Source organism: Homo sapiens, chromosome 9 (genome assembly GCF_000001405.40).
Source record: "Homo sapiens chromosome 9, GRCh38.p14 Primary Assembly".
NCBI lineage: Eukaryota > Metazoa > Chordata > Mammalia > Primates > Hominidae > Homo > Homo sapiens.
This window is the reverse complement of record NC_000009.12, coordinates 127,879,815-127,907,220: the sequence shown is the minus strand read 5'-3', so window position 1 is coordinate 127,907,220 and position 27,406 is coordinate 127,879,815. Positions and strand designations below refer to the sequence as shown.

General features: G+C 53.0%; 1 protein-coding gene and 1 long non-coding RNA gene across 33 annotated transcripts in view, besides 11 other annotated features; both read left to right on the top strand.

Moving 5' to 3' along the window:
• Window positions 1-27,406, top strand: part of ST6GALNAC4-ST6GALNAC6-AK1 (ST6GALNAC4-ST6GALNAC6-AK1 readthrough) — a 50,556-nt gene that overhangs the window by 9,821 nt on the left and 13,329 nt on the right. For 2 of the 9 annotated variants that reach the window (NR_174626.1, NR_174627.1), the window contains exons 1-7: window positions 605-1,286; window positions 1,919-2,014; window positions 10,889-10,979; window positions 12,530-12,709; window positions 16,178-16,584; window positions 19,630-19,737; window positions 20,433-22,035. This is a non-coding gene — a long non-coding RNA (ST6GALNAC4-ST6GALNAC6-AK1 readthrough). Of the gene's footprint in view, window positions 1-604; window positions 1,287-1,918; window positions 2,015-7,617; window positions 7,719-9,210; window positions 9,266-9,812; window positions 9,984-10,888; window positions 10,980-12,529; window positions 12,710-16,177; window positions 16,585-19,629; window positions 19,738-20,432; window positions 22,036-27,406 lie in introns of those variants that run through there. The other 7 variants (NR_174630.1, NR_174628.1, NR_174631.1 and 4 more) reach the window with 7 other exon arrangements.
• ST6GALNAC6 (ST6 N-acetylgalactosaminide alpha-2,6-sialyltransferase 6) lies at window positions 605-21,900 on the top strand. Of its 24 annotated transcripts, NR_174621.1 has the most exons (8): window positions 605-1,286; window positions 1,919-2,014; window positions 9,211-9,265; window positions 10,889-10,979; window positions 12,530-12,709; window positions 16,178-16,584; window positions 19,630-19,737; window positions 20,433-21,900. NR_174621.1 is itself a non-coding variant. In NM_001388489.1 (7 exons), exons 3-7 carry the CDS (start codon window positions 10,965-10,967, stop codon window positions 20,620-20,622), a joined length of 900 nt encoding a protein of 299 aa, NP_001375418.1. In that variant the 5' UTR covers window positions 605-1,286; window positions 1,919-2,014; window positions 10,889-10,964; the 3' UTR covers window positions 20,623-21,900. The 24 variants fall into 24 exon arrangements, 13 of the variants coding, with proteins under 13 accessions (NP_001375418.1, NP_001387759.1, NP_001273931.1 ...); NR_174619.1 differs by lacking the exon at window positions 9,211-9,265 and having other exon boundaries at window positions 12,592-12,709; NR_174618.1 differs by lacking the exon at window positions 9,211-9,265 and having other exon boundaries at window positions 16,178-16,565.
• Window positions 1,089-1,688: an enhancer, noted in NCBI's record as "H3K4me1 hESC enhancer chr9:130667812-130668411 (GRCh37/hg19 assembly coordinates)". NCBI's record gives its function as "activates a minimal SCP1, AML or CMV promoter by ChIP-STARR-seq in naive H9 embryonic stem cells {active_cell/tissue: H9 hESC(naive)}" and the evidence as "EXISTENCE:reporter gene assay evidence [ECO:0000049][PMID:30033119]".
• Window positions 1,827-2,353: an enhancer, noted in NCBI's record as "H3K27ac-H3K4me1 hESC enhancer chr9:130667147-130667673 (GRCh37/hg19 assembly coordinates)". NCBI's record gives its function as "activates a minimal SCP1, AML or CMV promoter by ChIP-STARR-seq in naive H9 embryonic stem cells {active_cell/tissue: H9 hESC(naive)}" and the evidence as "EXISTENCE:reporter gene assay evidence [ECO:0000049][PMID:30033119]".
• Window positions 3,075-3,344: an enhancer, noted in NCBI's record as "active region_29057". NCBI's record gives its function as "activates an Ori minimal core promoter by ATAC-STARR-seq in GM12878 lymphoblastoid cells {active_cell/tissue: GM12878}" and the evidence as "EXISTENCE:reporter gene assay evidence [ECO:0000049][PMID:35858748]".
• Window positions 4,397-4,486: a silencer, noted in NCBI's record as "silent region_20316". NCBI's record gives its function as "represses an Ori minimal core promoter by ATAC-STARR-seq in GM12878 lymphoblastoid cells {active_cell/tissue: GM12878}" and the evidence as "EXISTENCE:reporter gene assay evidence [ECO:0000049][PMID:35858748]".
• Window positions 7,442-7,671: a silencer, noted in NCBI's record as "silent region_20315". NCBI's record gives its function as "represses an Ori minimal core promoter by ATAC-STARR-seq in GM12878 lymphoblastoid cells {active_cell/tissue: GM12878}" and the evidence as "EXISTENCE:reporter gene assay evidence [ECO:0000049][PMID:35858748]".
• Window positions 7,747-8,567: an enhancer, noted in NCBI's record as "H3K27ac-H3K4me1 hESC enhancer chr9:130660933-130661753 (GRCh37/hg19 assembly coordinates)". NCBI's record gives its function as "activates a minimal SCP1, AML or CMV promoter by ChIP-STARR-seq in naive H9 embryonic stem cells {active_cell/tissue: H9 hESC(naive)}" and the evidence as "EXISTENCE:reporter gene assay evidence [ECO:0000049][PMID:30033119]".
• Window positions 8,568-9,388: an enhancer, noted in NCBI's record as "H3K27ac-H3K4me1 hESC enhancer chr9:130660112-130660932 (GRCh37/hg19 assembly coordinates)". NCBI's record gives its function as "activates a minimal SCP1, AML or CMV promoter by ChIP-STARR-seq in naive and primed H9 embryonic stem cells {active_cell/tissue: H9 hESC(naive and primed)}" and the evidence as "EXISTENCE:reporter gene assay evidence [ECO:0000049][PMID:30033119]".
• Window positions 9,744-9,813: a silencer, noted in NCBI's record as "silent region_20314". NCBI's record gives its function as "represses an Ori minimal core promoter by ATAC-STARR-seq in GM12878 lymphoblastoid cells {active_cell/tissue: GM12878}" and the evidence as "EXISTENCE:reporter gene assay evidence [ECO:0000049][PMID:35858748]".
• Window positions 10,210-11,031: an enhancer, noted in NCBI's record as "H3K4me1 hESC enhancer chr9:130658469-130659290 (GRCh37/hg19 assembly coordinates)". NCBI's record gives its function as "activates a minimal SCP1, AML or CMV promoter by ChIP-STARR-seq in naive H9 embryonic stem cells {active_cell/tissue: H9 hESC(naive)}" and the evidence as "EXISTENCE:reporter gene assay evidence [ECO:0000049][PMID:30033119]".
• Window positions 22,102-23,099: an enhancer, noted in NCBI's record as "H3K4me1 hESC enhancer chr9:130646401-130647398 (GRCh37/hg19 assembly coordinates)". NCBI's record gives its function as "activates a minimal SCP1, AML or CMV promoter by ChIP-STARR-seq in primed H9 embryonic stem cells {active_cell/tissue: H9 hESC(primed)}" and the evidence as "EXISTENCE:reporter gene assay evidence [ECO:0000049][PMID:30033119]".
• Window positions 23,837-24,337: an enhancer, noted in NCBI's record as "H3K4me1 hESC enhancer chr9:130645163-130645663 (GRCh37/hg19 assembly coordinates)". NCBI's record gives its function as "activates a minimal SCP1, AML or CMV promoter by ChIP-STARR-seq in naive H9 embryonic stem cells {active_cell/tissue: H9 hESC(naive)}" and the evidence as "EXISTENCE:reporter gene assay evidence [ECO:0000049][PMID:30033119]".

Genomic DNA, 27,406 nt, shown 5'->3' with positions numbered 1-27,406 from the left:
CCCTGGTCCTGGGTCAAATGGCAAGTTAAATTAGCCATTAAATCTGGGGTTGGGCCTGGCACAGTGGGGGCTAAGGCGGGAGTGTTGCTTGAGACCAGGAATTTGAGACCAGTCTGAGCAACGTGACAAAACCAGTCTCTACAAAAAAAAAAAAAAAGTGGGCCAGGCGCGGTGGCTCACTCCTATAATCCCAGCACTTTGGGAGGCCGAGGTGGGCAGATCACTTGGGGTCAGAAGTCTGACACCAGTGTGGCCAACAGGGTGAAATCCCATCTCTACTAAAAATACAAAAAATTAGTAGGATGTGGCGGTGGGTGCCTGTAGTCCCAGCTACTCAGTAGGCTGAGGCAGGAGAATTGCTTGAACCCGGGAGGCGGAGGTTGCTGTGAGCTGAGATCATGCCACTGCACTCCAGCCTGGGCGACAGAGTGAGACTCCATCTCAAAAAAAAAAAAAAAGAAAGAAAGAAAGTGGGTTTGGTCTCCCTGCAAAACAGGAAGGCAGAGGGCAGCCCTGGGTGGCTGCTGTGAGGGAGTCTAGTCTGGCTCAGGCCTTACTTTCGTCATCTGTAAAGTGAGAAAAAAAGTCCCACCAGCGGAACCTTGCCATCCTCAGAGGAGGACTGGTGCTAGCTGGTTTTACAGATGAGCTGAGGCCACTCAGCTGAAGCCGGACAACTGTGGAGCGGCTGGGCCAGTGTGCAATACCAGGTCTGAGAGCTGAGCCCGAGGACCTGAGCCCTGCACCCCTGGGCTGGAGAGAGCCCACAAGCATCACCCCTTCCAGGCATCACTACTTCATCTGGGGACGGGAAGACTCAGAGGACTGGGCCAGGGCCTCGGGCTGTCAGCTGGGATGCAGCCCTGGGGTTCTAGCTGCCAGCTCCAGGGATCAGGGCCCTATGCTAATGCTCTGCTGTTGCCAACTTTAAATTCTTAGGGTTTTTTGTTTGTTTGTTTTGTTTTTTGTTTTTTTTTTGCAAGAGGACTTGCATTTTCATTTTGCACTGGATCCCAGAAATTATGTAGCCAGTAGTCCCGGGGGCTCTGGGTGACCCGGCATACTCTCCCTCCCGCCCTTGGCTTTCACAGAGGGGGCTGAGACCTGGCACTTGGTTCACAGCACCGCTTTTGTGCCCGGCTTCCTCCTGCCCAGTGCCAGGTGGACCCAGAAGTTTCTGCAGGAATGGGAGGGGGGAGGAGAGCCCTGAGCTGGCGAAGCAAGGAGCAGGCTGGCAGCGGAGCCACAGCACGGAGCGAGGAGCTCTCAACAGGTGTCAGGCAGAGGTAAGGGCGGGATGGAGTCTGGTAGGCGGAGGTGGAGGGGGTTTCCGGGCTCAGAGGGAGGGCCCTGGAGTCAAGGCCTGACTTCTTTCTGGCCCCACTTTCTGCTGTAGTGGTCTTGGCAGATTAGTACCCCTCTCTGGGCCTGTTTTGTCATTTGTAAAAGGTTAAAATTGTCCCCACCTCACAGATTCAGACAGTGGACTATCCCCATGGCTTAGGACATAGCAGGCACTTGACATGTGGAGCCAGCATTTTTCGTGGGGTTCATCTGCCCTGGGCTGGCCCTGCCCTTCCTTGGTGGTGACAGATGGCAGGAAGCCCCTGCCCCATTGGTTGTCTCCCTACTCCCTGCCTCATCCTGGGTGTCCAAGGCCCAGTGTCCACTGGTTCTGATGGGATTTGAACTCCACTCTCTCCTGGGAGGCTGCCTCCTCTTCCTTCTCTATCCCCTGGGAAAAGGCTGACCCAGCCCTTGGGCCCAGGACACAGAGGCTCCTCTAACCTGGCCCTACCCTCGGGTGGGGTATTTACTGCTGGGTTGGCCCAAATGGTGTGTCTTTCTGGGGGTGGTGACCTGGCAGGAGTGATGCGTCAGTCACTTCCTCCAGGCAGATGGAGATGATCCTTGACAGGTCTGGTGGCTGGTTCGGGGTCTACTGAAGGCTGTCTTGATCAGGAAACTGAAGACTCTCTGCTTTTGCCACAGCAGTTCCTGCAGCTTCCTTGAGGTGAGCCCAGGGCAGGAGCCTCCCCACAGCCCCAGGGATCACCTGAATCTGCAGCCACTCTTTGGGCCTCTGTTTTCCTGTTCATACCCTGGTTCCTTTGCCCCTCAGCAGAGTGGCTGAGGACCTACCCTACTTCCTCCAAGCCCAGAGGGGAAGCCGGGGAAGCCTCACAGCCCAGAGGTGTCCTAAGGGGCCTTTTCCTTAGAAGGGCCATGGAGCCTGGCCCAGAGCTCACGCTCACGGTTCACACAGCTTCACCTTGTAAGGAACAAAATGAAACAAAAAATCTCACACACCCAGGTGAGAACAGGAACATCTGGCTTTGGGGGACTGGTGGGACCCAGCGTCTAGGCTCATCTAGGCCCGTCTGCCCTCTCCAGCCTCTGTGGGGGAAGAGGCAGTACTTCCTCGTTCCAGACCCTCTGGCCGGGAGCCCAGGTCTTGGGCTATGGAGCAGCCCCTGTGTGCAGGCCCCCACCTGCCCGCCACTCTCACAGGCCTCTCCTCTCCAGAAGCCCCTCCCCCAGACAAAAGCCTAGAGGGAGAGAGGCCGGAGTCCCCAGGCCTGGCTTGCAGCCTGGCTCTGCCCACGACCCGCTGCGGAGTCTTGGGCAAGTTCTATTCTCCCTCCGACCCTTGATCTTGGTTTCTTTGAATTGGGAGCTGCGGCAGGTGAGGGGTCTCTTAGAGCTCTTTCCAGAATACCATGGAAGGGAAAAATCCTAACGGCTCAAAGAAGTTTGCTAAGGGTCAGGAAGCAGGGGATACACGGGCCTCTCCTACCCGTGTAGGAGGCAGGAAGGGTCAAAGCAGAGGCCAGCTCTCCCAGACTGTGGGGGAAGGGCTGGGGGGGGGAGGCCCACGAGGACTGGCCACAGCCACCATGCAGGAACGTCCTGGTGTGGCCTGGCCTGGCTCTCACAGACCCAAGGCTTCCGTGTAGAATATGTCTGTGGTTATTAAACAGACAGGCCTAGTGGAAACAACCCTGCCACCTGCGTGTTCTCTGAGCCTCAGTTTCTTCCTCTGGAAAGTGGGTTAACCGCAGTACCCAACTCATAGGCCACCATAAGGATTCAATGAGGTGTGTTTGCAAAGTGCCTGGCAGAGAGTAAGCTGCTCTGTTTCTCATCCTTGTTATTACTGTTATTGAGATGGTTGCTGTCGTTCTTGGGGCCCAAGAAGGGAAGCCAGCCCTGAAGCAAATCCTGCTGGAGTGAGCCTGGGCCCAGAGACATGGCAGGCGGGACAGGCAGCTCCAGGCCCAGATGCTGTCCAGGAGCAGGGCCAAAGCACCCTCTCACTTCTGGGTGTTTGATTCGGGTCACTGGCCTGGGTTAGTGAGAAGGGCTGGGGACAGGATGTTTCCCTCCTGGTGCAGCCCCCAGCGCCCTGGGTGGCCTTGGGCTAGAGGCTCTGAGTCCTCAGAAGTCAAGTTCATCAGGCCTCCTGCCTGTCTGACCGCCCTGCCCCCACTCCATGGTTTTCCATCCTGTCACTTGTAGGGCGGGGTCGGCGACCTAGGAGGGCCATGGGTGGAGCTTGGTCTGAGGCTCAGGAAGCGGATGGAGGTGGGCACCAGGGACAGGAAGCCTCCAATCCACCCTTGCGGGCCACCCCCTCCCTGCCTGGTGGGCAGTGCCTTTATGGCCTAAAGGCTGGACCCTGGGGGACTACTGCTGACTTTTGTTTTAATTGGAAACAAACTGGTATTAACTTCCCATATAAGTACAGTGCAAACAACCTAGAAGTTTATAAAGGGAAAAGTGAAGGTAGCACCCAACCGTCCTGCCCCACCTTCACTTTAACAGGGAATCAACTGCTGGTAGTCCTTGTGGGTCCTTCCAGACACTTTATGTGTGCATTTACAAATATTATGCATAGTTATGTATTTTTAAAAGGCAAGCAAAGGCCGGGTGCGGTGGCTGATGCCTGTAATCCCAGCACTTTAGGAGGCCGAGGCGGGCGGATCACAAGGTCAGGAGATGGAGACCATCCTGGCTAACACAGTGAAACCCCATCTCTACTAAAAATGCAAAAAATTAGCCGGGCATGGTGGCAGGCACCTGTAGTCCCAGCTACTCGGGAGGCTGAGGCGGAAGAATGGCGTGAACCCGGGAGGCAGAGCTTGCAGTGAGCCGAGATCGTGCCACTGCACTCCAGCCTGGGCAACAGAGTAAGACTCCATCTCCAAAAAAAAAAAAAAAAAAAAAAAAGCAAGCAAAAAATTATGCTATATATTGCAGTTTGTTTTTAGAAATTAAAAAAATACATTTTTAAATATATAAAAATATTTAAATATATATAAAAATTGTGTGGGCTGGGTGCGGTGACTCATGCCTGTAATCCTAGCACTTTGGGAGGCCAAGGGGGGGTGGATCATTTGAGGTCAGGAGTTTGAGACCAGCCTGACCAACATGGTGAAACCTCGTTTCTACTAAAAATACAAAATTAGCCGAGCGTGGTAGCACACGCCTGTAGTCCCAGCTACTCAGGAGGCTGAAGCAGGAGAATCACTTGAACCCAGGAGGCAGAGGTTGCAGTGAGCCGAGATCGCGCCATTGCACTCCAGCCTGGGCAACACAGTGAAAGTCTGTCTCAAAATAATAATAATAATAATAATAATAATAATAATAATAATGTGACCATTATCTTAAAATTTTTGGAAAAATACAGTTAAACCAAAAGAAAAAAAGCAGCCCCAGATCCCATCATTCCAGAAATAACCACTATTAACACTAAACACTGGCCAGGCACAGTGCCTCACACCTGTAATCCCAGCACTTTGGAAGGCTGAGGCAGGCGGATCACCTAGGTCGAGAGTTCGAGACCAGCCTGGCCAGCATGGCAAAACCCCATCTCTACTAAAAATACAAAAAAATTAGCTGGGCGTGGTGGCCCGCGCCTGTAGTCCCAGCTACTCGGCAGGCTGAGGCAGGAGAATCACTTGAACCCAGGAGGCGGAGCTTGCAGTGAGCCGAGATTGAACCGTTGCACTCCAGCCTGGGTGACAGAGCGAGACTTTATCTCAATAAAAAACAAAAAACCAAAAACACTAATCACCGTGATAGGCAAAAGGCATTTCCTTATTTATTTTTTTGCATCTTTTAAAATATTGTGATATGGTGTCATATTTGAAAGTGATAAAGCATAAAAATATCATGAACCTCTTGAACTCAGTCCCCACTTAAAGACCAGTTACTGTAACTTGCATACCTCTTTGATTCCTCCCCCATTGTTCTTGACTTTTGCTTTTATTTTTATTTATTTATTTTTGAGATGGAGTCTCGCACTGTCACCAGGCTGGAGTGCAGCGGCACGATCTCGGTCACTGCAACCTCCACATCCTAGGGTCCAGCGATTCTCCTGCCTCAACCTCCAGGGTAGCTAGGACTACAGGCATGCACCACCACACCTGGCTAATTTTGTATTTTTTTAGTAGAGACTGGGCTTCACCATGTTGGTCTGGCTTGTCTCAAACTCCTGACCTCAGGTGATCCGCCTGCCTTGGCCTCCCAAAGTGCTGGGATTACAGGGCTGAGCCACCGCACCCGGTCTATTTTTATTTTATTTTATTTTATTTTATTTTTTTGAGACGGAGTCTCTCTCTGTCGCCCAGGCTGGAGTGCAGTGGCACGATCTGGGCTCACTGCAACCTCTGCCTCCCGCCTCTCAGGTTCAAGCGATTCTCCTGCCTTAGCTTTCCAAGTAGCTGGGATTAAGTAGCGTGTTCCAAGTAAGCATGTGCCACCACGCCTGGCTAATTTATTTGTATTTTTAGTAGAGACGGGGTTTCACCATGTTAGCCAGGCTGGTCTCGAACTCCTGACCTCAAGTGATCCGCCTGCCTCCCCTCCCAAAGTGCTGGGATTACAGGCATGAGCCACCGCGCCCGGCCCCTATTGTGTAGTTTTTACTTATCTTCCAATACCTCTTTTTCACTCCTTGTGTCTCTAAGATTCATCCATGTAATTGTAGATCATTGATTTTACCCTGTTACATATTATTCCACAGTGTGAACCTTCCATTGTATAAAACAATTCCATTCTCTTGTTGATGGATATTTGGGGTTTTTCCCCATAGCGATGCTGCTATGAACCTCCTTGGGCACATCTGCAAGAATTTCTCCAGGGCATGTGTACTCAGCTGTGGAATGCAAATGTTTACAACTTTGTTTCCAAGACAGTTTTTTTTTTTTTTTTTTTTTTTTTTTTTGATAGGGAGTTTAGCCCTTGTTGCCCAGGCTGGAGGCTGGAGTGCAATGGCATGATCTCGGCTCACTGCAATCTCTGCCTCCTGGGTTCAAGTGATTCTCCTGCCTCAGCCTCCCAAGTAGCTGGGATTACATGTGCCCGCCACAACGCCTCGCTAATTTGTGTATTTTTAGTAGAGACTGGAGGCGGGGTGGGGTGGGGGGTTGGGGGAGGGGGTTTCACCATGTGGACCAGGCTGGTCTCTAACTCCTGACCTCTGGTGATCCACCCACCTCAGCCTCCCAAAGTGCTGGGATTACAGCCACTGGGCCTGGCTGGCAGTTCTTTAACTTGCTTTCTTCACGTAAATATCCTATAAATATCCTGGCCATCCTTTCCTGCCAAGACATACTGACCTGCATCCTTCTTTTTTTTTTTTTTTTTTTTTTTTTTGAGACGGAGTTTCGCTCTTGTTGCCCAGGCTGGAGTGCAATGGCGTGATCTCGGCTCACCGCAACCTCTGCCTCCCAGGTTCAAGCGATTCTCCTGCCTCAGCCTCCCGAGTAGCTGGGATTACAGGCATGTGCCACCACGCCAGGCTAATTTTGTATCTTTAGTAGAGACGGGGTTTCTCCATGTTGGCCTGGCTGGTCTCAAACTCCTGACCTCAGGTGATGCACCTGCCTCGACCTCCCAAAGTGTTGAGATTACAGGCGTGAGCGAACCACCGCGCCTGGCCCGCATCCTTCATTTTAACAGCCTCCTCGTGCACTTCGGCAGGCTGTGCCTTAACTTAAGCAGTCCCCTAGCAATGGCTACTTAAGTTATTTTTCCCTATCACGTAGAGTGATGTCATGGATGCCCTGGTAATTACAAGAAGGAACATCTTAAGTTTTCCCAGCTCTGTGAAGTTATTCTTCTCCCTATTTTCCAGAGGCAGGGAGAAGGGAAGTTATGCGCTAAGGCTGCGCAGCTGGCGAATGGCAGAGGTTAACTTGAATCTGAGGGTGAACCCTAAGTTTGCCCAGGTGACTACAGGGTGCAAGGCAGGGAGCTGGAGGCCCTCTGTGGGGAGCCCAGGTAGAAACTCCACTGAGTGCAAGCACAGCGTGCTCCGGAACTCAGTTTCCCCATCCGGGGTCATGGTGGCAATAAAGAGAGCTAGAAGTGGGCCCGATCCACACTGCAGGGAGCCGAAAGGCTGTTGTATTTTGGTGGTCACCCCGGGCTGCCCAGTGGGGTGACCGAGGCGCTCACCAGGCGGCGGCACCCGGGTCCGCCTCCCCTTTCCCTTCCCCGCCCGCGCCGCCCGTGGGCGGAGCCACCCGCGGCCCCGAGGCTCCGCCCACCTCCCAGGCCTGGGCCGGGCCGTGACGGCGGCGCTAGGACCCGGCGGGCCGCGGGTGCGGCGAGGCCTGGGCGGCCTGAGGAGCGCGGACCCCGGCGCTCGGCTCCCGGCGCCATGTGAGGGGGCTCGGGGGCCGCGGGGGGCCGGGCGCTCCCCGCCGGAGGTGAGCAGGCGCCGCGCGGGAGCAGGCCGCGGGGGCGGGGGCGGAGGCGGGGGCTGGGGCGGAGGGCGCCGGGAGAGGAGATTGCTAATCGCCGGGGATGGGGATGGATGCGGGTCCCCCGGCGGCACCCCTAGACCCCTTCCCCCTTGGTAGCCGCGCCCCGAGGTTCCGGTCCTCGCGCCCAGGGTCTGTCGCGGGGTCCGCTGGGCCTCTTGCCGCCGACTACCCCGTCAGCGGTCCTGCCTCTCTTTTCTTCCCAGCTGGGGTTAGGGCTCCGGACCCCCGGAGTGCAGGAGTTGGGGAGGGGGATGAGGCGAGGCGCGCGCTGGGTGAGCCCCCCACCAGGTGGACGCACGGGCTCAGCGTCCCGCATCGTCTTGGATTTAGGAGCCCCCCTCCCCCTTCTCCCTGGAGCCCTCCTCCCACGCGGGTTCGTGGGGGCGTCCCGATCTGCGGGAGGACTCCCGGGGCTGGAAGAAGGAAAGCCCCCAAACAGAGGGCAGGGTGTGGCCCCCACCCTCGGCTCCCGCTCAGCTCGCCTGCACGTCCAGCCTTGGGCTGAGTCCATGCTCCTGGCCCAGCGCTCGGGGCTGCCGCCTCCCCAGCGTGAGCAAGCCGCTCCCCAACAGGCCGGCACCCCTAGACCCCCGCCCTGGTGCCTGTGCCGAGCCACGTCCTGGGCACACACTCCATGGCCTCTGACCCGTTCCAGCCGAGAGGGATCCTCCAGGGAGACGAAGTCAGGCTCAGCCCTGGGCAGCTCCCTGTAAACAAGGCTCTGGAGCCGGCTCTGGGCGGCCCCGCAAGGCGCTTTGCCTCTCTGAACCTCAGTCTCCTTATCTGTAAAATGGGCAACAAGAGCTCCTACCATGCATTGCCTGGATTCAGTGCGTGGGTGATGCTTAGAACGCATTCCCACACATTCCTTGATATTCCGGGAAAGTCGCTGCACTGGGGTCAGGGGAGGAGTGTTTCACTGACACACTGGAGAGGCGGGCCTTGAACAGTGATTAACCACAAGACTAACAGCTGTTGGCATTGTGGGAGCACTTTCTTTTCTTTCTTTCTTTCTTTTATTTTATTTTATTTATTTATTTTTGTTTTTGTTTTTGAGACGGAGTCTCGCTCTGTCGCCAGGCTGGAGTGCAGTGGCACCATCTCGGTTCACTGCAACCTCCGCCTCCCGGGTTCAAGCGATTCTCCTGCCTCAGCCTCCGGAGTAGCTGGGACAACAGGCGCACGCCACCACGCCCAGCTAATTTTTGTATTTTTAGTAGAGACGGGGTTTCACCATATTGGCCAGGCTGGTCTGGATCTCTTCACCTAGTGATCTGCCCACCTCGGCCTCCCAAAGGGCTGGGATTACAGACGTGAGCCACCGCGCCCGGCCAATGTGGGAGCACTTTCAAGCCCCGCGTGTCCCTTGCCACATCTGCTTGAATCCTTCCAACAACCCCTTGAGTTACCGACTCTTATTGTTCCCATTTCACAGATGAGGAAACTGAGGCTCAGAGAGGTCACATGGCTTGCTCGAGGCCCCCCAGCCAGTAAGTGGTGAAACCGGGATTCGCACTGGCAGCTGACATGCTGTACTGACCATGGCCTTCTCAGAGCAGGATTGTGACGGGGCGGACCAGGGGGACGGTGGTCCTGGCTGAGGGCACAGCTCGGGCAAAGGTGGGAAAGTGGGCGGCGGGCAGGGGGCATCCGCAGGAAAGGGTGGCCACGCGTAGTAAGATATAGGCGGCTGGACCCCTGGGCGCCTTGAATGCCAAGGTCTCAGGGCAGATGGGGCCACCCCAGGATTCTGGACTCCTGTCTTTTGCTCTAACGGTCTGTGAGGGCAAGAACAAGCCGCTCCCTGCTTCTGATGAGGCCCCGTTTTCTGCTCTGTACCGCAGGGCCTGGACTAGATAGGAGTCTGGGCCTCCCTGACTGGCAGTGAGGGGCAGCCGCTGGAGAAACCCGAAGCCGAGCTCCGGATGAGGGGCGCTCCCACGGGGAGGGGGCGGGGTTGGAGAGGGGGCGGGGCCATGATCTAACCAATCAGGAGCGAGGTGTGTGTGCCAAGCCTCCTCTGGCCCGAGGTTCTCTGGCTATTCCTGGTGGCCGTGTAGGAGTAAACAGCGGCTAGGTCAAAGGGCTCAGAGAATACAGGAACTGAGAGGCCCCTGGAGCAGGGGACGGAGCTGAGGAGGGCCCCCTAAGCCCCAGTTTCTTCCCTCTGCACTCCTGCCCGCCCTGCCCCCGGCCTGTCTGCTGGAGGTAGGCTGGACACAGTACATTTTCCCTTTCACAGGTGGGGAACCCTGGAAAGGAGCTGGGTTTTGGTTGTGGGAGAGGAAGAGATTGGGGTGTGCGGAGCAGAGCTGGGCCGGCCTCCTCACTGCCAGGTCTTCCAAAGGCCCCCCCAGCCACCCCCTGAGACTGTGATTACAGCCATTTGACAGATGAGGAGTCAGCCCTGGCAGAGACTGTCGAGCCTGGACTAGAACCGAGCCTCTCAGACTTGAGTCTGTGCCCTTAGCCCCCGAGAGATCCTGCTTGTTAATGCACTAATTCATTCAGCGATATTCCTGAATCTCCGTGGCTGTGGAGGCACAGGGAAACTGAGTGAGGACCTGGGTGGGCTGTATCCCGCAGGCAGCTCTTAGCCTGGGGGGATGGGAGGACGTAGGGGAGTTCCTGGTCCATGCCAGGCTTGGAGGATGAGTGGGAGTCAGGAGGCCATAGGAGGGAGGGCGTTCCAGGCCAACCTGAGAGAGAGCCAGAGCAGAGGAGTTCGGGGGCCTACAAGCGGTGTTGTTTTATTCTGACACCACAGGGACCCAAGGCAGGGTTTAGAGCAGGGTGTGAATGGGGCTCCTACTGCGTGGAGGTCAGGTCCTCCAGCAGGGGAGCCAGCTTTGGCCCTGCCAGCTGCCTTGGTGTGGGAAGGCCCCTGCTTAGGGAGGAGAATGGGCAGGGCTCTGCCGCCACCAGGCTGTGTGACCTCAGGCAGATTCCTGGCCTTTCTGGCCCTCAGTGTCTCCGTCTGCAAAAGGGATACAGTCCTGAGCCTTAAAGTTCTGGGTGCATAGAAGAACTAGTGCGGGGCAGAGAAGGTGTAGCCTTTGGCTTGCTGGACCCAAAGGACCGAAGCCATAATAACCCTTTCTGGTGGCTTGCAGGTGTGAACCCACATCCCTGCCCCCAGGGCCACCTGCAGGACGCCGACACCTACCCCTCAGCAGACGCCGGAGAGAAATGAGTAGCAACAAAGTAAGTCTGCCTTCATTTCTTAACCCCATTGAGCCTCTCACTTCCCTCCATGGAACGGGTTCCTTTGGACCTGTCTCAGACCCCAGCCACCACGAGTCTCTTCTTCCCCGCAAGAAGCTGCCCATGCCTGGGAGGCCCAGATTTAAGCCCTGGTTTGGCCACTGATCTTCTGAGTGGCTTAGGGCAAGCTCCTGCCTGTTCCCGGGCCCAGGGTCAGCTCTGCCTTCCCAGGCCTGACGGTCTGTCTGTGATGGTCAAGGACTAGCCGAGGTGACTGTGGAGTGCTGTGCAGGAGAGAGGGGTGGGCAGGTGGAGGTGAGCGGGAAATGGGGCAAGGGTGCACTGATCAGAGTCAAAGGTGATACAGCCCGAGCATGACCCTGAGAATGTCAGGATTCCCCATCATTCTTTCATTCATTCATTCTTTCCTAAGCACTTACTACATGACTGGCCCTGCATGCCCCTTCCCTAGGATCCACTGCAGCCTTGGTGGAGCCTGAGGTTTGGAAGTGGGATGGGGTGGTTGTATTAATTTGAGTTTAATCAGGAAAAAGAAACTACACAGTGATTAAACGGAAAAGTTTAATGCAAAAAATTATTGACTATAATAGGACACTAGAGTAACAAGGGATTGGAATTCTGAGGAATACAGGAATAGCAGATATTAATATAAGGAGCACCCCTGCCCCCATAAAGGCTGAGATCTGGGCCTTGCTGAAGAAGGCCCAGCTATGGCCCACTGGATGGCTCCAGTACAGAACTGGCCTGGGGAGGGGAAGCCGCCAGCCTCCAGGTGCTGCAGGTGGTTGAGTGTACTGTAGGAGCTGGACTTCGGAGAAGCTGTGATCACAGCGGGAGCCAGAAGCAATAAGCCTGACTTGCTGGCACTGCTGGCCTCTGGGCAGTGGGTAAGATGCCCTTACTGGAGAGGCCGTGTGCACTGAAGGAGCCTCCCTAGCAAGCCTACCAGAACCAAGAAGCAAATGCTTTTCCTCCTGCAGTGTCTGTCCAGCACCCTCTACTCACAAAGTTTAATATGCAGCTAACTGACAAGGGAAAATATTTAAAGGGCCCAGATCCATTTCCACAGAGCAGACAAAAAGGATAAATTTGGAGCTAGAGGCAATACATTGGAGAGTTACTGTTGGGGGAAGACCTAGACCCTCTCACTCAGATGTCCCACCTGTCTCTAGACATCCTCTTAGCAGCAGCTATAGGGAATCCTGACATATTCAATCCAGTCCAGCAAACCCTCCCGGAGAACCTTCCATGTTCCAGGCCCTGCCCTGGGATCTAGGATACAGTGGGGAGCAAGGCTGACCTAGTCCCAGAGCTCACGGTCTAATTGGAGGGATGGGAGTTTGAATGCAGTATGATCAGTGTTGTGATGGGGGGACTGAGGTGGCTGAAGGAGGCCTTCCTGGAGGAAGTAGTGCCTGACCTGGTCTGCAACAAAAAGCAGGAGTTAACCAGGCATGGTAGGTGGCAAGGAGGTGGGGGCGCTGAGCCTGCCCGGCAGCTGGGCCCTCACTGACCTCTCCTCTCTCCAGGAGCAGCGGTCAGCAGTGTTCGTGATCCTCTTTGCCCTCATCACCATCCTCATCCTCTACAGCTCCAACAGTGCCAATGAGGTCTTCCATTACGGCTCCCTGCGGGGCCGTAGCCGCCGACCTGTCAACCTCAAGAAGTGGAGCATCACTGACGGCTATGTCCCCATTCTCGGCAACAAGGTAGCGCAGCTGCTTTGGGGAGCTCCTCCCTACTGCCCAGCATCACCACTCCCTCCACCTGTTCTTTCCTAAAGGAAAGGTGGACCCTGAGAGTCAAGGCCCTGCCTCCGGTGATTTCATCTTGCTGCTTGCTGTGTGACCTTGGATAAGTGCGCTGCCCCTGTCTGGGCCTCAGTTCTCTCCAAGTCCCCACCCTTATTGCTAATATCCTACCATCTCCTGAATCAGAATCCTTTTGAAAATGTGTTTCTGTTTTCACTGCTCTCTGTCTCTGCTGGGGAGCCCACACAGGCTTGGGAGCAGAGCACTGGGACATTTGACAACACAAAAGCAGTAATAATACCGGCTGCCTTTTATCAAGTGCGTGTGTGTGCCAGGCCCTTTGATCACCAGTAATCCTCAGACAAGCCCTGTGAGGGCAGCATTATTATCTTCCTTGGTGAGATGGAGTAACCAAGGCTCCGAGAGGTGAAGTCACATGTCTAAGGCCACACAGTGAGGGAAGGAAGAAGATGGTATTTTCCTACCCGCTGCTAAGATGCAGCTGCACAGAGAGGCCAAAGTCATTCCTGGGGACTTCTGTTGGCCTTGGGTAGCCATGAAATTCAGATTGTATTTCTGAGGTTCACCCTGTAGTACCTCTTTCTCCTTCCTCACTGACCCTCCTATATTTTCTTCAGGGCCTTCGCATGCAGAGTGTAGAGCCCGGGCTCTGGACACACCCTCACTAGGAAAGGGCACATTAGCAGGTGTCTGGAGACAGGTTAACACCTAAGTGAGTCTTTCTCTACCCTAAGAACCCTTGAAAGCGGAATAAAAATGGGACAGCTTGAGTGTGGGTGATGTGGAAAGGAGAGACAGAGCCTGGCTTGCAGTGCTTCCAGCATCACAGGGGAAGCCAAAAAAACTAGCACTCAGAAAAGTGGGAGTGCCAGTCGAGGTACGTGGGATGTGTTGCTGGATCTTGGAGTAAGGGCTCAGGGAAGGCTGCCTTGGGGAGGGTGGTATTTGAGCTTAGCCTTAAAGGGTGAATGGGAATTCCGTGGGCAAAAAATAGACCCCAGAGAGTATGTGGTTCCAACCCATTCATTTCAGCCATGGAAAAACAAGCCCAGAGTGGCTTTCACACCTTCCTTAATAACAAGGTGGTTCTTGTTTCTGGGTGCTGTGGAAATGTCATGGGTGCTTTTTGGAAGATGTCTTCTTTGGAGAGCTGGGAATCTGTGGTCACATAGACTTTGTGACCTGCTGTTCTCCCACTTGTTGACTCTGCCCCAACTGAATGGCCTTCTTTTGGTTTTCAGTGTACCACCTTTATTTCCACATTGGAGCCTTTGTGCTGGCTGTTTCTCCTGCCTTGAATATGTTTCCCTAGGTGGTCCTTCTTCATCCTTCACATCTCAGCTCAGAGAGACGTCTCTGTTACAGCCGGACAGCTTCTTGCCTGCTGCCCAGGAAAAGCCAATACACTGAGACTGCGGGTGTTGCAGCAGAGAAAGGGTTTAACAATCGCAGGGCCAGCCAAATGAGGAGGCGTGGGATAGTTCTCAAATCTGCCTCCCCCAGAATTTGGAAGCCAGGGTTTTTAAAGGATAGTTTGGCAGGCAGGGGGACTAGAGAATGGTTGGGGATGAAATCATAGGGGTGTTGAAACTGTCTTCACCTGCCGAGTCAGTTCCTGGGTGGGGGCCATGGGTCACTGGTCTGGTTGGCATCCATTGATCTACCAGATTGCAAGGTCTGAAAAATATCTCAGACACTCAGGTTTTACAATAATGATGTTATCTATGTTAAAAACAACGATGATGTTATCTATATTTTAAAAAGCAACCTAAGAAACAATGACTGGTTATAATTCAACTATAGCTACATCTTAGCAGAAAAGCAAGCTAAGAGATAATGACTGGTTATGGTTTATGCCTACAGCTTGACAGAAAGGTGTGCGGGGGGTGAGACAATCAATTCTTAGTGACCACCTTCTATCGAACTGACTATATGCAGGCAATCATGCATCTACGAAGAGAAGGACAAAGGAAAAGGAAAATAAGTAAAACAAATGATTTTACTACACCTGTATCCTAGCAGAGTCCAGGCCTCTGTCTCAGTTGTTACCTTGTGGCCTTTTATTAACTTTACAAAGTCAGTTTTAGTCCCCAAACAAGGTGGAGTTCAGTTTTGGGAAGCGGCTGTTATCATCTTTGCTTCAGAGTTAAACTATAAAGTAAATTCCTCTCATAGTTAGCTTAGCCTATGGACAGGAATGAGCAAGGGTGGTTAGACTGTGAGGTCAGAAACAGGATGGAGTCAGTTATGTTAGATTCCTCTCACTAGATTCTTTTTTTTGTTTTGTTTTGTTTTTTGAGATGGAGTTTCGCTTTTGTTGCCCAGGCTGGAGTGCAATGGCTCGATCTCGGGTCACCGCAACATCTGCCTCCGGGGTTCAAGCGATTCTCCTGCCTCAGCCTCCCGAGTAACTGGGATTACAGGCATGCGCCACCACACCTTGCTAATTTTGTATTTTTCATAGAGATGGGGTTTCTCCATGTTGGTCAGGCTGGTCTCGAACTCCTGAGCTCAGGTGATCCGCCCACCTCAGCCTCCCAAAGTGCTGGGATTACAGGCGTGAGCCATCGCACCTGGACTTCCAGGCCACCACTCCTAAAGTGCCCTGGCTGCAGTCGCTCTTTGGTCACTTGCCCCTGTTTCCCCTCCCTTCCCCTCCCCTCCCTCTCCCCCCTCTCTGTCCCCTCCCCCTGTCTTCTTCCCCTCCCCCTCCCCCTCCCCTTCTCCCTCTCCTCTCCTTTCCTTTCCTTTTTCCCCTTTCCTTTCCTTTTTCTTTTCCTTCTTCTTTCCTTTCCTTGTTTCTTTTCTTTCTTTCTTCTTACCTTTCTTTATTTCGACAGAGTCTTGCTCTGTCATCTAGGCTTGAATGCAGTGGCACGATCTAGGTTCACTGCAACCTCTGCCTCCAGGTTCGAGCAATTCTTGTGCCTTAGTCTCCCGAGTAGCTGTGATTACAGGCACGCGCCACCACGCCTGGCTAATTTTTGTATTTTTTGGTAGAGATGGGATTTCACCATATTGGCCAGGCTGGTCTCGAACTTCTGACCTCAGGTGATCCGCCTGCCTCGGCCTCCCAAAGTGCTGGGATTACAGGCATGAGCTACAATGCTTAGCCATTTGCCACTATTTTCTTTTTTTTTCCTGGCATGTATTATGTGCATTCTTATCTGTCTCCCCACCTGTTTCTTGAAGGCAGAAGCCTGGTCTGTTTTGCTCCTTGCTCTGCCCCAGGACTTGGCCATTAACCAGCTTGCTATCAATGTGTGCTGAATGTGGAATGAATGGGCTCAGTTTCCCTGTCTTTAAAATGGGCATAACAATTCCTGGGTCCTGGAGGCCTGGATGTATGGAGCACAGGGCCAGCACAGAGTGGCCGTGATAATGTTGACTTTCCTTATCCACCAGACACTGCCCTCTCGGTGCCACCAGTGTGTGATTGTCAGCAGCTCCAGCCACCTGCTGGGCACCAAGCTGGGCCCTGAGATCGAGCGGGCTGAGTGTACAATCCGCATGAATGATGCACCCACCACTGGCTACTCAGCTGATGTGGGCAACAAGACCACCTACCGCGTCGTGGCCCATTCCAGTGTGTTCCGCGTGCTGAGGAGGCCCCAGGAGTTTGTCAACCGGACCCCTGAAACCGTGTTCATCTTCTGGGGGCCCCCGAGCAAGATGCAGAAGCCCCAGGGCAGCCTCGTGCGTGTGATCCAGCGAGCGGGCCTGGTGTTCCCCAACATGGAAGCATATGCCGTCTCTCCCGGCCGCATGCGGCAATTTGACGACCTCTTCCGGGGTGAGACGGGCAAGGACAGGTACCAGCCTCCTGCCTGCCCCCTCTGGCCAGCACTGTGCTCCTTCTCAGCATGCCCCATCCAGAGGGCCTGTTGCTCCCAGCATGCACTGCTCTGAGGGGTAGTCAAGTCCCGCCGTCCTCTGGTTGGGCCTCCTAGGAGAGTTCTCTTCATGTCCAGCTGTTCACATGGGTCCTTTCCAGCATGCTCTGCATGGCCTGGTTTGTCCAAGAGGGCTTTCTCCTGGCATACCTTGCTGTGAGGGCACAAGGGCTCCCACCCAGCATGCTCTGCTCTGAGGTTGCACAGTCAGTCCTAGCATCTTTCTGAGAGAAGCTCCCCATAGTGTACCCAATGTAAAGTCTTGACTGTTCCCAGCATGTCTTGCCTTAAGCACACAGTTGCTCCTGGCATGCTCTGCTCCAGCGATGCATCACTCCCAGCATGCCCTGCTGTGACTAATCTCCCTAGGAAAGCTAGGCCAGTGCTGCCCAATAGAAATCTATGTGAGCCACATATGTCATTTATTTTCATAGTAATCGCACTTTAAAATTAGTGAATAGCTGTGTGCGGTGGCTTGTACCTGTAGTCCTAGCTACTCAGGAGGCTGAGGCAGGAGGATGACTTGAGCCCGGGAGGTTGAGGCTGCAGTGAGCCAGGATGGTGCCACTGCACTCCAGCCTGGGTGACAGAATGAGATTACATCTTACATCTCCTTAAGAAAAAAAGTAGTAAAAGCAACTTTAATATATTTTTAACCCAATATGTTCAACATATAGCTCCTGTACATATTTTGTTAGATTTATACCTAAATATTTAAAAAATTTTGGAGCTATTATAAATGGCATTAACTTCTTTTGTTCCCAATTGTTAATTGCTAATATATAGAAATGGCATATAGAAATTGATTTCTGTGGCTGGGAGCGGTAGCTTATGCCTGTAATCCCAGTACTTTGGGAGGCCGAAGTGGACGGATCACGAGGTCAGGAGTTTGAGACCAGCCTGGCCAGCATGGTGAAACCCCGTCTCTAGTAAAGATACAAAAAATTAGCTGGGCGTGGTGGTGCGCACCTATAATCCCGGCTACTTGGGAGGCTGAGGCAAGAGAATTGCTTGAACCGGGGAGGTGGAGGTTTCAGTGAGCTGACATCCTGCCATTGCACTCCAGCCTAGGCCACAAGGCGAGACTCCATCTCAAGAAAAAAAAAAAAAAGAAAAAAAAGAGAAATTGATTTTTGTGTGTTGATCCTGTATCCTGTAACCTTGCTAAACTTACTTATTGGTTCTAGGAGATTTTTTTTTTTTTTTTTTGAGAGGGAGTCTTGCTCTGTTGCCCAGGCTGGAGTGCAGTGGTGTGATCTTGGCTCACTGCACCTCCACCTCCTGGGTTCAAGTGATTCTGCTGCCTCAGCCTCCCAAGTAGCTGGGACCACAGGCTTGCGCCACACACCCAGCTAATTTATGTATTTTTGGTAGAGACAGGGTTTCACCGTGTTGGCCAGGCTGGTCTCAAACTCCTGACCTCAGGCGATCCACCTGCCTTGGCCTCCCAAAGTGCCGGGATTACAGGCGTGAGCCACCGTGCCCAGCCTGTTCTAGGAGATTTTTGTAGACTCTTTGGGATTTTCCATGCAGATAATCATGTGACATGCAAATAAGGACAATTTTATTTCTTCCTTTCTAATCTGTATGCCTATTTCTTCTTTTTGCTTTATTGCACTGGCTAGGATTTTCAGTACAATGTTCAATTGTATTGGAAATGGTGAGAGTGGACTTCCTTGCCTTGGTCCTAGTCTTAGGGAGAAAGTATTCAGTGTTTGTTTGTTTGTTTGTTTGTTTGTTTGTTTGTTTTGAGATGGAGTCTTGCCCTGTCACCCAGGCTGGAGTGCAGTGGCACAATCTCAGCTCACTGCAACCTCCGCCTCCCAAGTTCAAGCGATTCTCCTGCCTCAGCCTCCCGAGCAGCTGGAATCACAGGCACGTGCCACCACGCCAGCTAATTTTTGTATTTTTAGTAGAGAGGGGGTTTCACCATGTTGGCCAGGCTGGTCTCAATCTCTTGACTTCGTGATCTGCCCGCCTTGGCCTCCCAAAGTGCTGGGATTACAGGCATGAGCCACTGCGCCCGGCCTATTTTTTTTTTTTTTTTTTTTGGAGAAGGAGTCTCACTCTGTTGCCCAGGCTAGAGTGTAGTGGTGCGATCTCGGCTCACTGCAACTTCCACCTCCTGGGTTCAAGCAATTCTCCTGCCTCAGTCTCCCATGTAGCTGGGACTACAGGCACGTGCCACCATGCCTGGCTAATTTTTGTATTTTTAGTAGAGACAGGGTTTCGCCACGTTGGCCAGGCTGGTCTCCAATTCCTGACCTCAGGTGATCCGCCCACCTCAGCCTCCCAAAGTGCCAGGATTACAGGCATGAGCCACTGCACCTGGCTAAGTTTTAATTTTTTGTAGAGATGAGGTCTCACTATGTTCCCCAGGCTGGTCTTGAAGTCCTGGGATTACAGGTATGAACCACCACGCCTGGCCTCCCTTCTTTTTTCCATACTACCTAAGAAATGCAGTGTGTATTTACACGTACAGCCCATCTCAATCACACATGGCTGGTGGCCACTGTAGTGTGAGCACAGCTCTTGGTTCTGGGCTACTCCTTCAGGCCTTGCTCTGAACTGCAGTCACTCCAGCATGAACTTATCTGATTAGTCTCCCCTTAGGAGTTTGCTTCTAGCATGGGCACAACTGTTTTTAGCATGCTCTGCAATCATAGTCACTCAGCCTGCCCAACTGTGACCCAGCTCCCCAGGAGACAGTTCATTTCTAGCATGCCCTGTTCCCATTCTTCCCCTCAAAGGAGCTCCCTCCACACCCCTCACCTCTGCCTGGACAGCCCTCTGCCACATGCCATGCTCCCATCAGCGAGGCTGGACTTGGGGTAACCAAAGTGGGAGTGGGGCCCTGATGAGTGGATGGGAGGAGTTCCAGGGAACTCCACGTGGGTGACCCTGGGTCACCTGCTCCCATCTCTCCCTGCATGTGCCCTCATCGTGACCCCTCTCCATCCCCAGGGAGAAGTCTCATTCGTGGTTGAGCACAGGCTGGTTTACCATGGTGATCGCGGTGGAGTTGTGTGACCACGTGCATGTCTATGGCATGGTCCCCCCCAACTACTGCAGGTGAGCCCTCCTTGCCAGCGCCCTCCCAGGACAACACCCAGGCACTGGCCGCAGGATGGAGCTCTAGGGGCTGGAAACCTTGGCTGAAGGTGCCTTTGAGGGCCTCTGCTTCATTGTTTTCAAACTGTTCTTCAGAGATCTAGGCTTCTTCTCCTTCCTCAGGGGCCTCCACTCCAAGCTCCGCCAGAGTTTATTTATTAATAATAACTATTAGTAGTAGCATCATATGAAAAGCCCACTAGGGGACAGCTATACTTTACTGAATACTGACCAGGTACCAAGCATGGCCACATGTAGTCTCTCACTTACTCCTCACAGCAACCTTACGGGATAAGAACTGTTATTCTTCCCATTAATTAAATGAGAAAAACTGAGGAGTATGTTTTATGAGTAGCCAAAGGTCCTCCAAACAGTAGGAAGAGGGGCCAGGCTCCAGTGCTCACAGCCCTCACCACTGCTCCACACTGCCGCCTTCTTAGGGAAAGGAAAAAGTGCCACTGCATTTAAAAAAAAAAAAAAAATTGGTGGTTACACACCTAGTCTACCCTGCACCCATTTTATGGATGGGGAAACCGAGGCCCCAGGAGGCATGGGGATTTCTCCTATTGAGGTCCTATGGTAAGCGAGGGGCTGAAAGGGCAAGGACCCTGCCAGCGCTCACCTTGCCCTGATGACGCCCGTCTGCTCTGTCCCAGCCAGCGGCCCCGCCTCCAGCGCATGCCCTACCACTACTACGAGCCCAAGGGGCCGGACGAATGTGTCACCTACATCCAGAATGAGCACAGTCGCAAGGGCAACCACCACCGCTTCATCACCGAGAAAAGGGTCTTCTCATCGTGGGCCCAGCTGTATGGCATCACCTTCTCCCACCCCTCCTGGACCTAGGCCACCCAGCCTGTGGGACCTCAGGAGGGTCAGAGGAGAAGCAGCCTCCGCCCAGCCGCTAGGCCAGGGACCATCTTCTGGCCAATCAAGGCTTGCTGGAGTGTCTCCCAGCCAATCAGGGCCTTGAGGAGGATGTATCCTCCAGCCAATCAGGGCCTGGGGAATCTGTTGGCGAATCAGGGATTTGGGAGTCTATGCGGTTAATCAGGGGTGTCTTTCTTGTGCAGTCAGGGTCTGCGCACAGTCAATCAGGGTAGAGGGGGTATTTCTGAGTCAATCTGAGGCTAAGGACATGTCCTTTCCCATGAGGCCTTGGTTCAGAGCCCCAGGAATGGACCCCCCAATCACTCCCCACTCTCCTGGGATAATGGGGTCCTGTCCCAAGGAGCTGGGAACTTGGTGTTGCCCCCTCAATTTCCAGCACCAGAAAGAGAGATTGTGTGGGGGTAGAAGCTGTCTGGAGGCCCGGCCAGAGAATTTGTGGGGTTGTGGAGGTTGTGGGGGCGGTGGGGAGGTCCCAGAGGTGGGAGGCCGGCATCCAGGTCTTGGCTCTGCCCTGAGACCTTGGACAAACCCTTCCCCCTCTCTGGGCACCCTTCTGCCCACACCAGTTTCCAGTGCGGAGTCTGAGACCCTTTCCACCTCCCCTACAAGTGCCCTCGGGTCTGTCCTCCCCGTCTGGACCCTCCCAGCCACTATCCCTTGCTGGAAGGCTCAGCTCTTTGGGGGGTCTGGGGTGACCTCCCCACCTCCTGGAAAACTTTAGGGTATTTTTGCGCAAACTCCTTCAGGGTTGGGGGACTCTGAAGGAAACGGGACAAAACCTTAAGCTGTTTTCTTAGCCCCTCAGCCAGCTGCCATTAGCTTGGCTCTTAAAGGGCCAGGCCTCCTTTTCTGCCCTCTAGCAGGGAGGTTTTCCAACTGTTGGAGGCGCCTTTGGGGCTGCCCCTTTGTCTGGAGTCACTGGGGGCTTCCGAGGGTCTCCCTCGACCCTCTGTCGTCCTGGGATGGCTGTCGGGAGCTGTATCACCTGGGTTCTGTCCCCTGGCTCTGTATCAGGCACTTTATTAAAGCTGGGCCTCAGTGGGGTGTGTTTGTCTCCTGCTCTTCTGGAGCCTGGAAGGAAAGGGCTTCAGGAGGAGGCTGTGAGGCTGGAGGGACCAGATGGAGGAGGCCAGCAGCTAGCCATTGCACACTGGGGTGATGGGTGGGGGCGGTGACTGCCCCAGACTTGGTTTTGTAATGATTTGTACAGGAATAAACACACCTACGCTCCGGCTTCGTGTCCTGTGTCACCTGGGTCGAGCACAGCCTTCTGGTCCAGCGCTGCATGCGGCCTCAGGACCACGTCTTCCGGTTGGGGGCTCCCAGTAAAGCGATCCTCAGCTTCTTCAGCAGCCAGTGGCCAGTGAGGTGTGTATTTTTGCATCTTGAGTGGAGACCTGGGGGCTCTGGGGATGGTGGGGGCGTGCGGAGCCAGGCCCGTCTGGCTTTTCCTGTCCCCACCTCACCCTGCCTGTGTGACCACGGGCAAGTCACTTCGCCTCTGAGAGCCCCAATTCCTTCAAGGGCAAAAGGGGACCAGACACTGCCCTCAAGGAGCTCAGGTTCCAGGAGGGGAGGAGCCCCGTGGTACACTAGGAAGAATTCCCACAGAAGCTGGGAAAAGAGTTTGAGCAGTGAATGCAGAAGGGGTGAGGGGAAAGACATCCCAGGCCACAGAGCCAGAGGTCTCTCAGCTCCTTAAGCGTCTGGGGACCTGATGGCTGGGAGCTGAGATTTCCTGCCAAACCCAGCAGGAGGGAGCCTGGCGGGGCTGCAACGCTGGCAGGAGTGTGGTGAGCGGTGGTTGCCACCAGCCTCTCTGCAAAAGGGCTGTGTACTCCAGGTTGGCAGGAGGCACGGGGTCTGTGACTCCAGAGATTACAAACTGTTTGGGCAGATAAGATGCCCTCGGAGGCGAGGCCTAACAAAGAGTGACTGTGTAAGACATGGGCAGGCAGCCTGCTGGGATCTCCCAGGGTCCCCGAGCTGCTGGGGACAGGAAAGAGAACCCTTCTGGGCACTGGGCCAGCCAGGATGGTGGTGACCGGGGCTGAGAGGCATGAATGGCACCTTGCATCTGCCTCTCAATTCACGTAGCCAATAAGCAGCCGCATGCCATGCACTGTATTAGGCACAGTTGATGAGGGTGAGAGTGTCTGGTGGGAGGAGTGGCCCACAGAGAAGCCTCATGGTGGGATCCCCAGCTTCACCCAGTAGGCAGTGAGGCTACAGCAGGAGGGAGCAGTGAGAGATGAGACTGCCCGGGGCCAGATGGCACAAGGCAAGGCCATAAATGTCAGTCTGAGGGGGGCAAGAGCCTTGATCTTTCTTGCGTAGAGAAGTCAAATGGGACCACAGCAGGATGGGCAGGAGGCTGACAGGTGGCATGGCGCAGGGCCCAGGGGCCGCCAGACACAGTAATGGTGGCAGTGGGGCTGGGGGGCTGGAAAGATTGGGACTCCGTGTAAAGTCTACATGGGGAGCAGAAAGCCGTGCGTGGGCATGGGGATATGGGAATATGGCACCCATCCAACCCCATGCAAAGGCTTCTGGGAACCTGGGTCCAGGCAGAGGTTTTTTTTTTTTTTTGAGACAGAGTCTCACTCTGTCACCCAGGCTGCAGTGCAGTGGTGCAGTCTAGGCTCACTGCAACCTCTCCCTCATGGGTTCAAGCGATTCTCCTGCCTCAGCCTCCTGAGTAGTCGGGATTACAGGCGCATACCACCATGCCCAGCTAATTTTTGTATTTTTAGTAGAGACAGGGTTTCACCATGTTGGTCAGGCTGGTCTCGAACTCCTGACCTCATGATCCACCCACCTTGGCCTCACAAAGTGCTGGGATTTCAGGTGTGAAGGTGTGAGCCACCGCATCTGGCCTTCCTTGTGGTTTTTTTGTTTGTTTGTTTTGTTTTGTTTTTTTGAGATGGAGTCTCACTCTGTCACCCAGGCTGGAGTGCAGTGGTGCAATCTCGGCTCATTGCAACCCCTGCCTCCCCTCAGGAGTGTGAGCCAGGGTGATCTCCCACTCCTGACCTCAAGGGTTCAAGTGATTCTCGTGCCTCAGCCTCCCGAGTAGCTGGGACTACAGGCACTTGCCACCATGTCTGGCTAATTTTTGTATTTTTAGTAGAGACAGGGTTTCAGCATGTTGCCCAGGTTGGTCTTGAACTCCTGGCCTCAAGTGATCCACCCACCTTGGCCTCCCAAAGTGCTGGGATTACAGGCGTGAGCCACCACACCCAGCCCCAGCAGAGGTTTCGAGGTAGAATTTCTCCCAGAATGCTGTGGCTCTTCTGTCTGTCCACTGGGGAGGGGGAGGTCAGTAAGAGGTGCATCAGGAGGGGGTCGGTTCCCCAGGGGGATGTTCAGTGGAGCATCAGGAGGTGGGACTCTGGTGGGCCTAGTCCCCAACTCCTCAATCTCTCACCCCCTCAGTGGGACCCAGTGGAGACTGGCCCACTCATTGCTAAAGTGAGCTTCCTGAAGCCCCTCTCATCACAGCCCTCTGCCCTGAAACCTTCACTGGCTCCCCATTCACTGGCCAGCTCCAAACTTACAGACTTGTCTGGCGTTTGAGGCCTTCCTGCACCTCCATCTGCACCTGCACCCCTCTCCCGGGTGCCTTAGTGAGGCTGGTGCTTCCTCATCTCTGTGCAGAGGGCCTTACCCCCACCCCTCCTTGGGAGGGGGCGCCTCCCACCAGCTGCAAACCTATGAGTGGCAGCCGCTCCTCTCTGGGCTTCCCGTCCAGCTGTTTCCTGCATCCATTTGTTTCCTGCGGATGCTCAGTGGTTCCCACTGAGCTCAGCCCCACCAGCCAGGCTCCCTGGGGCAATCCCCAATCCCACTACGTGCTGACTGGTGGGTCCACATGTGAACTTCAGAGTGAGGAGGCCCTGGCACATCTCCTGCAACCGCCATGCCAGCTTGTTTTCAAGCCTTGGAATTTTTTTCCCTTCCCTTCCCTTCCCTTCTTTTCTTCCCTTCCTTTCCTTTTTAGACGGTGTCTTGCTCTGTCACCCAGACTGGAGTGCAGTGGCATGATCTCAGCTTACTGTAACCTCTGCCCCCTGGTTCAAGCAACTAGGATTACAGGCGTGCACCACCACACCCAGCTAATTTTTATATTTTTAGTAGAGGTGGGCCAGGGTGATCTCACACTCCTGACCTCAAGTGAGCTGCCCGCCTCGGCCTCCCAAAGTGCTGGGATTACAAGCATGAGCCACTGCGCCTGGCTGGAATTTTTTCTTTAACCAAAATATTTTCATTTTAATTTTGTTCCTAAATGTCACAAGCTACAAAATATTTTTAAAAAATTTTTTAATTAGTTTCATTTTTATATGTTTCTGTTTTTAGATTTTTTTTATCATAAAACAAATAATACAAATGATATAAGATAGAAAGGGAGGGTATTGCCGAGTCCTATTAGGGTATAATCTTCCAGATCTTTCCTCCATGCAATTTTTTCTTTTTCTGAGACAAGGTCATGCTCTGTGGCTCAGGCTGGAGTACACTGGTGTGATCACGGTTTACTGTAGCCTTGATCTCCTGGACTTGAGCAATCCTCCCACCTCAGCCTCCCAAGTAGCTGGGACTATAGGCAGGCACCACCATACTTGGATAATTAAAACTTTTTTTTTTTTTTTTGTAGAGACAGGGTCTTGCTATGTTGCCCAGGCTGGTCTCAAACTCCTGGGCTCAAGTGATCCTCCTGCCTCAGCCTCCCAAAGTGCTGGGATTACAGATGTGAGCCACGGCGCCCAGGCTTCATGCAATTCTTTTTTCTTTCACTATTCCAGTTTTTCTCTCCCTTTCTTTTTTTTCTTTCCTTAGGTTATACCTGGGAAATAAAATTCTGAAACGTTAATATTCCAGAATTGGTAGAAAATCCATAGTTCACATGCAAATAAAACGGATACTTAAAATTGATTTTTTAATTTTAAAAATTTATTTATTTTATTTTAAAAATTGTGGTAAAAAACGTGTAACATAAAATTAATCATCTTAACAATTTTCACACTCTGTTTTGGATAACAGAGCTCCAAAACTTTGTCATTTTGCAGATCTGAGACTCTGTACCCATTAAACAGCAATTCTTCCTTCCTCATTCTCTCCCAGCTCCTGGCAACCACCATTCTACTTTTTTTTCTATGAGTTTGACTCCTTTAGATACTTCAATGTAAAGGAATCATACAGTATTTGCCTTTTTGTGATGGGCTTATTTCACTTACATAATGTCCCCAAGATTTATCCATGTTAAAGTTATTTTTTAATATATATAAAGTAATAGACGCTTGTTGTATGGAAAAGCAAAAATGCTTGGGTGGCTGGGCACTGTGGCGCGCACCTGTAATCTCAGCACTTTGGGAGGCCAAGGCAGGAGGATTGCTGGAGCCCAGGAATTTTAGGCTGCGGTGAGCTATAATTTTGACATAGCGCTCCAGCCTGGGCAACAAAGTGAGACCCTGTCTCTTTAAAAAAAAAAAAAAAAAAAAAAAAGCGTGGGGGGCTGGGCACAGTGGCTCACGCCTGTAATCCCAGCACTTTGGGAGGCCGAGGCAGGCAGATCACTTGAGGTCAGGAGTTCGAGACCAACCTGGCCAATATGGTGAAACCCTGTCTCTATTAAAAATACAAAAATTAGCCGGGCGTAGTGGCACGTGCCTGTAGTCCCAGCTACTGGGGGGTCTTGAGAATCGCTTGAGCCCAGAAGGCAGAGGTTGCAGTGAGCCAAGATTGTGGCACTGCACTCCAGCCTGGGCAACAGAGCAAGTATCCGTCTCAAAAAATAAATAAATAAAATAAAATAATAATAATAATAATAAAATGCCGGCTAGGCACGGTGGCTCACGCCTGTAATCCCAGCACTTTTGGAGGCCAAGGCCAGCAGATCATCTGAGGTTGGGAGTTCGAGACCAGCCTGACCAACGTGGAGGAACCCCGTCTCTACTAAAAATACAAAATTAGCCGAGCGTAGTGGCGCATGCCTGTAATCCCAGCTACTCAGGAAGGCTGAGGCAGGAGAATTGCTTGAACCCGGGAGGCAGAGGTTGCGGCGAATGGAGATCACGCCATTACGCTCCAGTCTTGGCCACAAAAGCGAAACTCCATCTCAAAAAAAAAAAAAAAAAAAAGAAAAAAGAAAAAGAAAAGCCTGGGGAAGCCTTTAAGTAGGAAGTGGAAGTGTCATCTCCAGCCAGGCGGTCATAGGCACACACCTGCCTTCTCTGTCCTGTTTCATTTCACCCACTCTAAGATGTTGTCAGTTTGATTGTAAGACAATGTAATTTTAACTTTGTAGAGTTACGGTGCAAAAAAAAAAAAAAGTCTGAGAATATATTTTACACACACACACACATTTGCATGTTTAGAGTCTTTTTTAAATTTACTACTTTTATTTAAAAAAAAATAGGGGCCGGGCATGGTGGCTCACACCTGTAATCCCAGCACTTTGGGAGGCCGAGGCGGGTGGATCACGAGGTCAGGAGTTTGAGACCAGCCTGGCCAACATGGTGAAACCCCGTCTCTACTAAAGATACAAAAAGTTAGCCGGGTGTGGTGGTGCATGGCTGTAATCCTAGCTACTCAGGAGGCTGAGGCAGGAGAATCGCTTGAACCCAGGAGGCGGAGGTTGCAGTGACCCGAGATCACACCATTGCACTCCAGTCTGGGCGACAGAGTGAGACTCCATCTCAAAAAAAAAAAAAAGAAAAGAAAATACAGACAGTGTCTCACTATG

Coding starts and splice junctions, on each gene's coding strand:
- ST6GALNAC6 (NM_001286999.2), top strand. CDS start 9,240: ATGGCTTGCTCGAGGCCCCCCAGCCA. Junction 10,980..12,529: donor GAGAAATGAGTAGCAACAAA/GTAAGTCTGCCT, acceptor TCCTCTCTCCAG/GAGCAGCGGTCAGCAGTGTT. Junction 12,710..16,177: donor TCCCCATTCTCGGCAACAAG/GTAGCGCAGCTG, acceptor CTTATCCACCAG/ACACTGCCCTCTCGGTGCCA.